The 15,393-nt window shown below is 43.1% G+C and overlaps 1 long non-coding RNA gene across 1 annotated transcript in view; it reads left to right on the forward strand.

The window, feature by feature from the left end:
- Positions 1-15,393, forward strand: part of LOC105379412 (uncharacterized) — a 69,678-nt gene that overhangs the window by 31,420 nt on the left and 22,865 nt on the right. The window contains exon 2 of the long non-coding RNA XR_007058273.1: positions 15,086-15,129. This is a non-coding gene — a long non-coding RNA (uncharacterized LOC105379412). The remainder of the gene's footprint in view (positions 1-15,085; positions 15,130-15,393) is intronic.

Genomic DNA, 15,393 nt, shown 5'->3' on the forward strand with positions numbered 1-15,393 from the left:
CCAAATTTAACTATGTTGTCAACAGTGGAACCAAGGTGTCTTGGTTATGTCTTATACCCAAAAAGTGGTAATTCCTATAGATAATGTCAACCTAAATATATAAACAGAGAGAGGCTCTCTAAAAGAAAATATTTATTCAGGAATAGGACATTGCAGTGGGAATATGCATGCCATAGTAAACAATATGCATATTCATGGAAAGTAAAGTGTATTAGGGTTCTCCAGACGGGCAGAACCAATAGGATATATGTATGTAAAAACAGGAGTTTATTAGGGAGAATTGGCTCACACAATTAAAAGGCAAAGTCCCACAATAGGCCACAATAGGCCCTCTGTAAGCTGGGGAAAGAGAAAAGCTGGTAATGTGGCTCAGTCCAAGTCTGAAAGCCTCAAAACTAGGGAAGCCAAGAGTGCAGCTCTCAGGCTGAGGCCAAAGGCCCAAGAGCCCCTGAACGCCACTGGTGCAAGTCCCAGAGTCTAAAGGCGAAGATCCTGGAGTCTGATGTCCAAAGGCAGGAGGAAAGGAAGCAAGTATCTGGCATGCGAAAGGAGAATGAGAGAGAGAGAGAGAGAGAGAGAGCTCAGCAAGCTGAACATCCCTTCTCCCGCCTGCTTTGCTCTAGCCGCGCTGGCAGCAGATTGGATGGTGCCCACCCACATTGAGGGTGGGTGGGTGGGTGTGCATCACCCTCTCACAGTCCACTGACTCACATGTCAATCTCCTCTGAAAACACCCTTCAGAAATAATGCTTCACCAGCCATCTAGGCATCTCTCAATCCAGTCAAGTTGACACCTAATATTAACCATCACATAAAGAAAGACAAAGGTTTTTAAAGAAAACATGAGAAGGATTACATAATTGTTTTGAGATAATTATCCTTGGCTACAAAGATCAATAACAAGGGTGACGTCAATCCAAGGTTGGACAGGCAGTTGCTGAGCAGATGTCCTCACAGAACATCTGCATGATGGCCTTTGTGCAAGATTGTGGTTTTTGCAGAGTCTTTTGTAATAGTTTCTGTCATCCAGCATTTATTCATGAGAAAACACTTCCTTCACGGCCTTCCCTAGCGCTATTTGTCAGGGTTTGGTTTTTTGGGTTTTTTTTTTGTTTTTTTTTTTTTTTTTGGTTGTTGTTGTTTTCTTTCTTTCTTTTAACAAAAGTGACTCCATTTTGATTCTGACAGTTTTCACAATAGGATTCTCATGGTTAAGAGATAAGTTTGCTTTCTTTTTTTTTTTTTTTAACAGAGTCTCACTTTGTCACACAGTAGCATGATCAGGGCTCACTGCAGCTTTGCTTCCACCTTCTGGGCTCAAGCAATCCTCCATCCTCAACCTCCCAAGTAGCTGGGACTACAGGGGTGCACCATCATACTTGGTTTTTTTTTTTTTTTTTTTTTTTTTTGGTAGAGACAAGGTCCCACTATGTTGCCCAGGCTTGTCTTGAACTACTGTCCTCAAGCAATCTTCCTGCTTCATCCTCCAAAAGTGTCGGGAGCTCTACCACTGTGAAAGTAGTTAAGTATAGTACATAATGGTTAACATCATTTTAGCAATCTTAAAGTGTATATTTTGGTAAAAGCCACAATTTCATAAGAAAGCAGTCAGGCATAGTGGCTCACACCTGTAAATCCAGCACTTTGGGAGGCTGAGGCAGGAAGATCACTTGAGCCCAGTAGTTCAAGACCAGCCTGGGCAACACAGTGAGACTCTCTCTCTACAAAAAAATTTTTAAAAAATTAGCCAGGCACAGTGGCTCAAGCTTGTGGTCCCAGCTACCTGGGAGGCTGAGGTGGAAGGATTATTTGAGCCCAAGAGATCAAGGTTGCAGTGAGCCATGATCCCATCATTGCCCTCCAGCCTGGGGAACAGAGCAAGACCCAGTCTCAAAAAATAAAATAAAATAAATATAAATGTAAATAATTTAAATGTTTTAAATTGTGGTAAAAAAAAAAGATAATATAAAATTTACCATCCTAACCACTTTAAGTGTTAATCAGTTCAGTAGGGCTAAGTAGGTTCACACTGTTGTACAACAGATATTCAGAACTTATTTAACTTACGAAACTGAAACTCTATACCCATTAAACAGTAACTCCCCATTCCCTCCTCCCCCCAGCCTCTGGCAGCCACCCTCTACTTTCTGCGTCTATGAATTTTACTACTCTATATACCTCATATAAGTGGAATCATACACCAATTGTCTTTTTGTAACTGGCTTATTTTTCCTAGCATAGTGTCCTCAAGACTTATCCATGTTGTAACATGTGACATAATTTTCTCCCTTTTGAAGGCTGAATAATATTCCATTGTATATATATATACCACATTTTATTTATCCATTCATCCATTAATGCACATTGGGGTTGCTTTCACCTGGTCTATGTAAGATTTGTTTTTTGTTGTTTTGGATTTTTGTTGTTGGTTTTTGAGACAGTGTCTTGCTCTGTCACCCAGGCTCAAGTGCGGTGGCATGATCATGGCTCACTGCAGCCTCAACCTCCCAGGCTCAAATGATCCCTCTACCTCAGCCCCCCAAGTAGCTGGGACTATAGGCGTGCGCCACCACACCTGGCTAGTTTTTGTATTTTTTGCAAAGATGGAGTTTCACATGTTGCCCAGACTTGTCTCGAACTCATGAGCTCAAGCAATCTGCCCACCTCTGGCTTTCCAAAGTGCTGGGATTACAGGCGTGAGGTACCACGCCTGCCTGGCTGTAAAATTTTTTGTTATAGCAATATTATTAGTGTGTTCTGAATTAGCTAGCTTGTTTAAGATTGAAGGAACACACACATGGGTTATCATCAATGACAGAGTGTATTGCAAGGATATATAAGGATTTGGGGTTTCAAGAAAGGCAGGTAGCTCTGGAAATTGCCTCATCCAGCTGCATTATATTTCATGAGATTGTGCAAAAGGTACTACAGGAACCAGGATCTTTATTCATAACAGCAATCTTATCTAAAACTATTCATCTTCTTCTTGGTATATCTAGTATTTATATTTCCCAAAAGAGATGTTTTATTTGAGTGGACTTGTCATCATTTATTGCAGAGTATCATCCTTGGACAAGAGTGCCTGCCAGAGTGCTGCAAAGCCAGCTGGCCCTCATCATGCTTTATGCTACTGCCTTCAGCCTGTGCTTCAGTCCTTAATCCCATTTGCTGTGACTAGGAGAGTGGGGATGGTTTTTCTTTTTTTCTTTTCTTTCTTTTTTTTTTTTTTTTTGAGACATGAGTTTCACTCTGTTGCCCAGGCTGGAGTGCAATGGCATGATCTCACTCACTGCAACCTCCACCTCCCGGGTTCAAGCAATTCTCCTGCCTCAGCCTCCCAAGTAGCTGGGATTATAGGCATGTGCCACCATGCCCAGCTAATTTTTTTTTTTTTTTAATTAGAGACGGGGTTTCACCATGTTGAACAGGCTGGTCTCAAACTCCTGACCTCAAGTGATCTACCCATCTCAGCCTCCCAAAGTGTTGGGATTACAGGTGTGAGCCATCACGCCCAACCCAGGGCATGGCTTTTCTTATAGTGCATACCATAAGCCAAAGTAGCTCAGATAGGAAGCAATCATTTAGTTTCTACTTTAGGATGGAGCTCTAAATTTGTATGCCTATACCTTATAGAATATATATATACATACATACACACACACGCACACACACATAAATTTGAGTCTTGTGTTTTCCCCATTCTTCCCCTTAGCACCTAACATTTATTGATTTATTCATTTATTCACCCATTTTATTTGTACTGACATTGAACAAAAATATGTCAAGTCCTCTGGTGTTCAGTGCACTTCATTAACCTCCTCCCACCCATGCTCTCAGAGACCCTGGGAGGCAGGTAGTATTCATGTTGTGAACCTAGTCAGGATGGTTTTCCACATCAAAAATCAGAGGTTTGGCTGGGCGCAGTGGCTCACGCCTGTAATCCCAGCACTTTGAGAGGCCAAGGTGGGCAGATCACCTGAAGTCAGGAGTTCCAGACCAACCTGGCCAACATGGCAAAACCCTGTCTCTACCAAAAACACAAAAATTAGCCGGGCGTGGTGGCACATGCCTGTAATCCCAACTACTTAGGAGGCTGAGGCAGGAGAATCACTTGAACCTGGAGGTCGGAGGTTGCAGTGAACCGGAGATTGCGCCATTGCACTCCAGCCTGGGTGGCATAAGACTCCATCTCAAAAAAAAAAAAAAAAAAATTCAGAGGTTCTATGCTTCAATCCTTCAGAGTGCTGATTTCTTAATTAACTAATTAACACATTAATTAATGTGATAAAATGCGAATGTGTTAACTGGTATATTATTAATACGGTATGTTTTCCAGGTAAATTGTTTGCTCTTAAAATAAGGCCCTTCTGGACCCGGTGCGGTGGCTTACACCTGTAATCCCAGCACTTTGGGAGGCCAAGGCGGGTGGATCACCTGAGGTCAGGAGTTTCAGACCAGCCTGGCCAACATGGCGAAACTCGGTCTCTACTAAAAATAAAAAACAATTAGCCAGGTGTGGTAGCAGGCACCTGTAATCCCAGCTACTTGGGAGGCTGAGGCAGGAGAATCGCTTGAACCCGGGAGGTGGAGGTTGCAGTGAGCCAAGATCACACCATTGCACTCCAGCCTGGGTGACAAATCGAGACTCTTTCTCAAAAAAAAAAAAAAAAAAAAAAAGACCCTTCTGAAGACAATGCTTTCACCCAAAAGACTGGCTACATAATTTATGGCACCTAAGGCAAAATGAAATGCAGGGCCCCTTGTGTACTAACTCAAAAATTATTAAGAATTTTAAGATGCTGGCCGAGCACGGTGGCTCACGCCTGTAATCCCAGCACTTTGAGAGGCCGAGGCGGGCGGATCATAAGGTCAGGAGATCGAGACCATCCTGGCTAACACAGTGAAACTCCATGTCTACTAAAAATACAAAAAAAAAAAAAAAATTAGCCGGGTGTGGTGGCGGGTACCTGTAGTCCCAGCTACTCAGGAGGCAGAGGCAGGAGAATCGCTTAAACCCGGGAGGCAGAGGTTGCAGTGAGCCGAGATCATGCCACTGCACTCCATCCTGGGTGACAGAGCCAGACACTGTCTCAAAAAAAAAAAAAAAGTATTTTAAGATGGCAACAGCAGAACACTAAACCAAGTACAGGGCCCATCTAAGCATGGGGACATGTGCAGCCACACAGGTTGCACACCCATGAGGCCGGTTCTGAAGAGGAGTGATGTCAAGTTGGAATGCCATGCAACATGGCAGGTTATTACAAAAGTTGGTTTGCATGGGTAGTTCTTTTGCTATCTGTTAAATTCTATCACATAGGCAAGTCTCTGTTTAAACAACTTATAAAACTGTGTTTACCAGGGTAAAGAAAAGAGTAAAGCTCTCTGGAGATCACTACAATGTAGGGTGAAAGAAGAATCAAGCAATAATAGAACACAGAGAGCTTAACTTGCCCAAAGTTACATATACATTATTCATTATTCAATATACATATTCATTATTCATTATGTATTTGAGCTAAGACTACAGAAACCCTGTTCACTTCTCTCCACCTCCTGACTGCCTCGAGCACTACAGTGTCCACAAGCCTTGGAAATACAAGGAAAATAGTATATTTATTTTGGTTTGTTCCGATTAACATTTGGACCCATTGCTTTAAATGTAAAGGTCCTTTACCTGAAATGGTATCTGGAGGTTGAAAAAATATATTGAGAATATTATTCGAAAATGTAAATTATCTGCTGTCTAAAAATAAGTTTATCTTAGGAGTGATGATTGCACATTATGAATGTACTTAATGAACTGTTTGCCTAAAAATGGCTACAATGGCACAGTTTAGGTTATGAATATTTTACCACAATTTTTAAAATAAAATAAATTTATCCCAGATTTCCCAACTTTTTAGACACCCAGTACACGTTGGACATTGAAAGCCATCTAATATATGTTATTGAGTGAAGACCCATGTTATTCCACACTATGGATAGGCTGTATCTTTTTTTTTTTTTTTTTTTTTTAGACAGAGTTTCACTCTGTTGCCCAGGCTGGAGTGCAGTGGCGCGATCTCGGCTCACTGCAACCTCCACGCCCCGGGTTTAAGTAATTCTCCTGCCTCATCCTCCTGAGTAGCTGGGATTATAGGCACCCACCAACACGCCTGGCTAATTTTTGCATTTTTAGTAGAGACGGGGTTTCACCATGTTGGCTGGGCTGGTCTTGAACTCCTGACCTCAAGTGATCCGCCCACCTCGGCCTCCCAAATTTCGGATTACAGGCGTGAGCCACTGCACCCAGCCAGGATGTATCATTTTTATGTAAGAATACTGAAACAGAGAGTAGACAGGAGCAGACAGTCTTTTTAGTTCACATACTTTTGCATTATTCTAATTGTTTATAGGGTGCATATATACTGTTTTAAAAATCATTTTTGACAAGATATTTCTATTTGGGGGATGGAAAAAATGAAGAAACAAATACATTAGAAACAGTCCTCATAGTTAGGAATTAGAGAGAGCCTGGATCTGCAGGTGTTCGGCTGCCTCATGGGCCACTGTTGGCCACTCTGAGATCCGCTTCATTACTGTGAACACAGACCAAGGTCCTGCATTCAGAGCACGCTCTAACCAAAAAGCCGGGTTCTGGTGAAGGCTCTCTTATTGGCTCTTACACGTCTGCCTGCTTGGCGTGTCCTCATATGGCCTTGCCTCTGGGTGCATGGGAAGAAGCAGAGCTCAGGTTTCTCTTCCTCTTCTTTCAAGGACACCAGTCCCATCAGATTAGGGCCCCACCTTCTGACCTCATCTAACCTTATTTACCTCTTTGAAGGCCCTGTCTCCAAATATAGTCGCACTGGGGTTAGGGCTTCAACATATGAATTTGTGAGGGGTGGTAGGGGGACACAATTCAGTTCATAGCAATACCTTTTATCAAATTGTCTTTCAGAAAGATTATACAAATTTATACTCCCTTTAACAGTGTTTGAGAGTGGCTATCCTGTACTCTCAACAAAGATTTTAACATTTTAAAAATCTAGATTATTTTGAAAATGGATTTTGAGGACCTCCAAGGACAAATGTTCATAACTGTACAAATAGGAGGCTTGGCTAAGTGACTTGGGTCAGGATAAACATTTCAATATTAAATACTTTAGAGACTCTCAGATTCATTTCCTTGCCTGTGGGTTACATAACATTAAGAACTTTGGTTTGTCTTTGAGCCTGGGAGGTACCCATGCCTCATAACTAGGAAAAAGCTTACCTGTGCACTTACATACTTTTCTAAAACCTAATGGAAGCAGTGCCCTAGTGCAAGGTTTAGAGAAAATGAAAATGAGTTGCTGAGAAAGGAACTAAAAAGTATTCTGGTAGATGAATTGGGTGGAATGTTAAAAAAATGTGAAGGGAGAAGTCATCTTGAGTACTGGGATTGAGAAGAATTCTTTGATATTAAGTTCCATAGCCTTTGGGTACTTATTTGATCACAGCTGCTTTTCTAATCCCTAGTGGTAGCTGAGCCCTAGGGAATCTTTTTTTTACTCAAATCAACCAGGGAAATGATGACCCCTTTCTCTGTGTATCTCCTTGTCAGGCAGCAATAGACCACATCTTCCAAACTACCAGACAAGAAGAAAACAACAGATTTTTTTTGCGTATATACTAAAGTCCTACTACAGATTGCAGGAGCTCAACTGCTTACAAAAGAGGAAAAAGTACAACCATGGTCTGCTCTTTCCTTGCTTGCCCTTTGCTTCCAGGTGCAATGATTTCATAGACTTCTTTGCTAATGGATAGAGCCCAGGGGGAAATAGAAAGAACAAAAAAACCTTGAATTTTTTTAGCATTTATATTTAAGCATAGCTTTAATTTTTTTAATGAAACATGCCCATTTAAACCAATCTAAATACAGAAAAGTATAAAGTACAAAGTAAAAATCACCTGGAGTATTATTACCCGGAGACAACCATGGTCATAATTACAGATATAGTAAAATGATTTTATATAAAGAGCTCATATATGCATTCTGTAACCTATTTTACTCAATCACAAGCATGAAATTTTTCTAAGTCAATAAATATGAAGAAATATCATTATTCATGATTTCACAGAATAACTCTAAATATATGTATCATAATTCACTTAGCCAGTCCTCAATTAGGTCATTTACAATTTGTGAAGCTACTATAAGCAATGCTGAGATAAACATCTTTCTGAATATATTTTTTACCACTTTTAGAAATATTTGTATAAGCACGTCTAATGTCTTTGGGACTAACAAGACATTAAAAATTATGAAGTCACACTTAGAAACTGAAAATATCTCAGATGAAAGCATGAAATTTTTAAAAAGAAAATATGTATAGCTTCTCTATTTCTGTCTACAAAAAGTAGTTATCACTACCCCTTTTGCAGAATATAGGGCCTTGAAATTCATTAACTTGGCCACCCCTTCATCCTCCTCCTGTCTTATGTGATATTGTGTTCAGAATTTGAGGTTTATATTGTTGTCATTTTTGTTGCTGTTTTACTTTGATTTTTTTATTTGAAAATTTTCAAGCCCACAGCAAAGTCAAAGAATAGTTTAAAGAACACCTGTATACACGTCATTTAATTTTTCAATTATTATTTACAATTCAAATTGTTAATAATAGCAATTTTCTTTTTCTTTTTCTTTTTTTTTTTGAGACAGAGTTTCGCTCTTGTGGCCCAGGCTGGAGTGCAATGGTGCAATCTCGGCTCACCACAACCTCCACCTCCCGGGTTCAAGCGATTCCCCTGCCTCAGCCGCCCAAGTAGCTGGGATTACAGGCATGCGCCACCACACCCAGCTAATTTTTTGTATTTTTTTAGTAGAGGCGGGGTTTCACCACCATGTTGGCCAAGATGGTCTCTATCTCCTGACCTCGTGATCCGCCTGCCTCCGCCTCCCAAAGGGCTGGGATTACAGGCATGAGCCACCATGCCTGGCCTAATTTTGTATTTCTAAGTAGAGATGGGGTTTCTCCATGTTGGTCAGGCTAGTCTTGAACTCCTGACCTCAGGTGATCTGCCTGCCTTGGCCTCCCAAAATGCTGGGATTACAGGCATGAGCCACCGCACCCGGCCAATAATAACAATTTTCAATTATTAATGTTCTCACTCTTCTTTCTCTTGCCACCTCCTTTCCCTTACAGATATTTCTTTCTTTTGCAAAAGTTCAGCTACATATTTAAAAGAACATTTGGCTGAATGCAGTGGCGCACATCTGTAATCCCAACACTTTGGGAGGTCAAGGAGGGAGGATTGCTTGAGCCCAGGAGTTCAGGACCACCTGGGCAACATGGCAAAACCCCATCTCTACAAAAAATTTAAAAACATTAGCCAGGCATCAGCCAGGTGCGGTGGCTCATGCCTGTTAATCCCAGCCCTTTGGGAGGCCGAGGTGGGTGGATCACGAGGTCAGGAGATCAAGACCATCCTGGCTAACACGGTGAAACCCCGTCTCTACTAAAAATACAAAAAAAAAAAAAAAACATTAGCCAGGCGTGGTGGCACATGGTGGTACATGTCTGGTCCCAGCTACTCAGGAGGTTGAGGAAAGAGGATCACTTGAGCCCAGTAGATTGAGGCTGCAGTCAGCCGTGTTCACGCCACTGCACTCCAGCCTAGATGACAGAGAAAGACCTTCTCTCAAAAAACAAACAAGCAAACAAACAAACCCAAAAAACTCCACCTCATTCATTATATTTTCTAGATGTTTTATAGGAAAAAGTTTTTCAGGATATACAGTTAGTTGTACTGCCAGAAATTAGAGTCCAATTTTATCAATTTGTATTCTGCTTTTTTTTCACAGAATATTATGTATTAATGATTTTTTTCATGGTTCCTGCTATGAACTGACTTGTGTCTCCTCCCAAATTCATATGGAGAAGCCTTAATCCTTATGGGACTGTATCTGGAAATAGGGTTTTTAGGAGATAATTAAGGGTAAATGAGGTCATAACGGTAGGTTCCTAATCGGAAAAGAATGGCTTTCTAAGAGGAAGAGATCTCTCTCTTTCTCGCTCTGTGCGATGTGAAGACATAGTGAGAAGGCAGCCAACTGGAAGCCAGGAAGAAGCGCTCACCAGAGCCTGACCATCATGCTGGCATCCTGGTCTCAGACTTCCAGGCTCTAGAACTGTGAGGAAAGATTTTTTTTTTTAACTTTTTCATGAAACAGGCTCCGAAGGTAAATTTCTATTTTTATTTTTTATTTTTTTCGAGATGGAATCTTGCTCTGTCATCCAGGCTGGAGTGCAGTGGCGCGATCTCGGCTCACTGAAACTTCCGCCTCCCAGCTTCAAGCAATTCTCCTGCCTCAGCCTCCCGAGTAGCTGGGATTACAGGCACCCACCACCACACCCAGCTAATTTTTGTATTTTTAGTAGAGGCAGGGTTTCACCATGTTGGCCAGGCTGGTCTTGAACCCCTGACCTCAAGTGATCCACCCACCTCAGCCTCCCAAAGTACTGGGATTACACAAGTGAGCCAACGCACCCAGTCTCCAACTTTTTCTATGTGTGACTTGTGTGATAATATTTTCCTTCAGTATTTTAGATGCCTATTTATACTTTGTATATGTTTTAAATTTTTACTTTTTTAATTTTTTATTTTTTTGAGACAGAGTCTCGCTCTGTCGCCAGGCTGGAGTGCAGTGGAGTGATCTCGGCTTACTGCAACCTCCACCTCCCGGGTTCAAGCTATTCTCCTGCCTTGGCCTCCCAAGTAGCTGGGATTACAGGTGCATGCCACCACACCTAGCTAATTTTTTGTATTTTGGTGGAGACGGGGTTTCACCATGTTGGCCAGGATGGTCTAGATCTCCTGACCTCGTGACCTGCCTTCAGCCTCCCAAAGTGCTGGGATTACAGGCATGAGCCACTGCGCCCAGCCTAAAATTTTATTTTAATAAAAGCTCTGCCCTCTGACCTATATTTTGCTTAATTTTTTTTTCTTTTTTTTTTTTTTTAGACGGAGTCTCACACTGTCACCCCGGCTGGAGTGCAGTGGTGCAATCTCAGCTCACTTTAACCTCTGCCTCCCAGGTTCAAGCGATTCTCCTTGCCTCGGCCTCCCAAATAGCTGGGATTATAGGCACCCGCCACCACACCTGGCTAATTTTTTTGTATTTTTAGTAGAGACGGGGTTTCACTATGTTGGCCAGGCTGGTCTCGAACTCCTGACCTCATGATCTGCCTGCCTTGGCCTCCCAAAGTGCTGAGATTACAGGCATGAACCACTGCACTCAGCTATTTTGCTTAATTTTTAAAAAGAAGAATTGCATTAATTGATGGAAATTTAGACTATGTTAAATAAGGAAAAACAAGCAAACACACACCAACCTGGGTCATGCAGAATTTCTCAGACATAGAATGGATTCGAAAAAGTCCCCAGGCCGAGGCAAATGCATATACAAAACCCTGTGAAAGGGAGAAACAAGGGACGTTTTCTAGGAATAGAAGGAAGACCACTGTGTTCGATCACAGTTGAGTGAAGGGAATGAACTTAGGCTGAAGAGGGAGATGGGAGTGATCCTCAGGACCTTGAAGATGATGTCAACAGCTTAGATGTATATCTTTTTTTTGTTCGGAGTCGGAGTTTCATTCTATTGCCCAGGCTGTATCTGGGCTCACTGCAATCCCTGCTTTCCAGGTTCAAGTGATTTTTGTGCCTCAGCCTCCAGAGTAGCTGGGTCTATCTATAGGCACCTACTACCATGCCTGGCTAATTTTTGTATTTTTAGTAGAGACAGGGTTTCGCCATGTTGGCCAGGCTGGTCTCAAACTCCTGAGCTCAGGTGATCTGCCTGCCTTGGCCTCCCAAAGTGCTGGGATTACAGGTGTGAGCCACTGCGCTTGGCCTAGGTGTGTATTTTAAGAGTGATGCTGGGTTCGGCACAGTAGCTCATGCCACTTGGGAGGCCTTGGGAGGCCGAGGCAGGAAGATCACTTGAAGTCAGGAGTTCAAGACCAGCCTGGGCAATATGGAGAATCTCAGCTACTTGGGAGGCTGAGGCAGGAGACTCACTTGAACCCGGGGGGTGGGGATGGCAGTGGGCCAAGATAATGACACTGAACTCCAGCCTGTGCAACAGAGTGAAACTCTGTGTCAAGAAAGAAAGAAAGAGAAAGAGAGAGAGAGAGAGAAAGGAAGGAAGGAAGGAAGGAAGGAAGGAAGGAAGGAAGGAAGGAAGGAAGGAAGGAAGGAAGGAAGGAAGGAAGGAAGTGAGTGAGTGAGCTTATTCACCTCAGCTTTCAATTTGAGGCCATGCTTTTCATGGGCAGCCCCAGACAATAATCGTGCATGGCAAGGGTAAGTAGGACTGGTCATTTCTGCCCAAAGCTGGCCTCTTCTAACAATCTTTGCTGTGGAGCTCCCTGCTGAACTGACTGAGACTTTGTCAAATCTGCAATGTCCCAAGTCTCTCTCTGCCCCATCCTGCTTACTACCTCTTTTATCTCTCACAGACTAAATTTACCAATAAACCTCTTTCATTCCTGTCTCATTTTCTGATTTCCATAGGCCTGTTTACACACCTGGTAAATAATGAGCTTAGGAATATCTGGTCAAGGATATCTGATTGCTAATGACTGAAAGTTTGTGTCTCCCCAAAATTTGTATGTTAAAACCCTAATCCCTCATGTGATGGTATTTGGAGATGGAAACTTTGGGAAGTAATTAGGTCATAACCCTAATGAGTGGTATTAGTCCCCTTAGAGGAAGACACATGAAAACATCCTCTTTCTCTGCTCTCCACCATGTGAGTATACAATAAGATAGCCATCTGTGGGTAGGTGCTGGCTCACACCTGTAATCTCAGCATTTTGGGAGGCTAAAGTGGGAGGATCACTTGAGGTCAGGAGCTTGAGACCAGCCTGAGCAACAGGATGGTCTCAGTCTCCTGACCTCTTGATCCGTCAGCCTTGGCTGGGATTTTATGCTAGGATTACAGGCGTGAGGCACCGTGCCTGGCCAAAAAAAAAAAAAACCACTTTTTAAGAAAAATTAGCCAGGTGTGGTGGCATGTGCCTATGGTCTCAGCTACTCAGGAGGTTGAGGCAGGAGGTTGAGGCTGCAATGAGCCATGATTGCACCACTGCACTTAACCCCGGGTGAGAGAGCAAGATCCTGTCTTTGGAAAAAAAAAAAAAAAAGGCCAGGTGCGGTGGCTCACGCCTGTAATCTCAGTACTTTGGGAGGCCCAGGCAGGCAGATCACCTGAGGTTGAGAGTTCAAGACTAGCATGACCAACATGGTGAAACCCTGCCTCTACTAAAAATACAAAAATTAGACGGGTGTGGTGGTGGGCACCTGTAATCCCAGCTGCTCAGGAGGCTGAGGCAGGAGAATCACTTGAACCCAGGTGGTGGAGGTTGCAGTGAGCCGAGATCACGCCACTGCACTCCAGCCCGGGTGACAGCGAGACTGTGTCTCAAAAAATAAAAAAAACACCGAAAAAAAGAAAACATTTAGGCCTAAAGTCTTCAAGCAGAAAGAAAGGGAAAGAAAGGAACTAGACGAGGCTTGATACAGTTCCCTGTGGATTATCAAATGTTTTTTCATCCATGATGTTATTTAACACTACATAGCCCAGACTTTTGAAAAATGCACTTTCACACTGCATTGTAAGCTGAACCACAGGGGCTGGGTGTGGTGGCTCATGCCTGTAATCCCAGCACTTTAGGAGGCCAAGATGGGTAGATCACCTGAGGCCAGGAGTTCGAGACCAGCCTGGCCAACATGGTGAAACCCTGCTTCTACTAAAAATACAAAAATTAGCCAGGTGTGGTGGTGGGTGCCTGTAATCCCAGCTACTCGGGAGGCTGAGGCAGGAGAATCACTTGAACCTGAGAGGCAGGGGTTGCAGTGAGCCGAGATTGTGCTACTGCCCTCCAGCCTGGGTGACAGAGCAACACCTCGTCTCAAAAAAAGAAACAAAACAAAAAACAAACAAACAAAAAACAGACAAACAAAAAAACAAAACAACTATAGGGCCAGAATTCACACTTATATATGGCAATGAATTTTTCTCTGAAAGAAAAATATGTTCCCACTGTCACTCAATTTGGAAAGAGGTCAGTTCCAGGACAATAATTGAGGATTTGGAGAGGTGAGCTGTGGCTCAGAGGAGAGATGGTCTTCCTCCTCTCCATGGCACTCAGAATGGTCTGGCTGGTTGGGAGGGTCTAGATTCTGAGGCAGAGATGCTAGAGATTGCAATGGCAAAGTAGGTTTGCGGGGACAGCGCGAGCTGCTTCAGACTAATTATAATGGTGCAAGAGCCAGGCAGAGAGCTAACTTGGCCAGAGACTCCCAGGGAATATCTGGACTTGAGCCATAGTTACAAGTTATTTTCTGTTTTCCACTCCCTCCCTGAGCCTCCAGTGAAACCATGGTTTAAATTGTGTTATGGAGAATTAGTTAAAGGTTGTGCCCAAACGTGGCCCCATCTATGAAAGAAGTACAATATTCAAACCATATGCCCTCGTGAACCTCATCCACCTTGCATGCTAGGATTTAGAGGGCCCAATGAATGATATCCCTGTTTCATGTCCATATATGGAACCAACTGAGAGAGACGTGAAAGAGTAAGGCAACAGGAGAGCAAAAACTATCACCTCTACTGCTGTGAAAAGCAGTCGAAGGATGTTGATTAGGTGTGTTAGCCAAGTGGGCTACCTATCATCTCACCCGTGAATCGAACTTACCTGCCTCATTGCAGGCAGTAGTGGACAACCTCATGGAAAAGCAGAGCAGATTGTGTACCCTGCAGACAGGCAATACTCAAAGAGAAAAGGAGGAAGAACCTGAGCGTGCTCAGCTCCTTCTCCCAAACTCTCCATTCAAATCCTTTGCTGCTCCTTTAGGGACCAGTAAGTGAACGAGGTGGAGAAAGGCCAGGAAGATTAGACATGGAGTCAGGGGAAAGGAGATTTCTCTGTTCCCCAAATGGTATGCAACAGTCAATGTCAAGGCTAATAATTGCTGCTCAGGGCATATGAAAACATTGATTTCCTCAATACAGCCAATCCTGTTTATCTTCTTCACTCTATTATTCTTTTTTTCACAGAACCTGGACAATGAGTCCACTTGCAGTACCAGCTTTAGGCCCAGGTGAGTGGTGGCCTCTGCCCTGGGCCCTGCACTTTAGACAACCTCACATATCACAAAGGCACGTGTATTTGTTAAAGAACACACGAGTGCCTCTGGCACTTGGGATCCAGTGTTCAGTGCACTAGAACCCAGGCCCTAAATATCCATTCTTCTGACCAACAGTGTTCAGGCCCCAGGGCCCATTCTGTCCCCATTCTGCATCTCTTGTGCCATGTGCTTGAAACAACACAACTGCCTCTACATGCTGACAGATTGGCCGGGTGC

The sequence above is a fragment of the Homo sapiens genome, chromosome 4 (assembly GCF_000001405.40).
Source record: "Homo sapiens chromosome 4, GRCh38.p14 Primary Assembly".
In the NCBI taxonomy this organism is placed as follows: domain Eukaryota; kingdom Metazoa; phylum Chordata; class Mammalia; order Primates; family Hominidae; genus Homo; species Homo sapiens.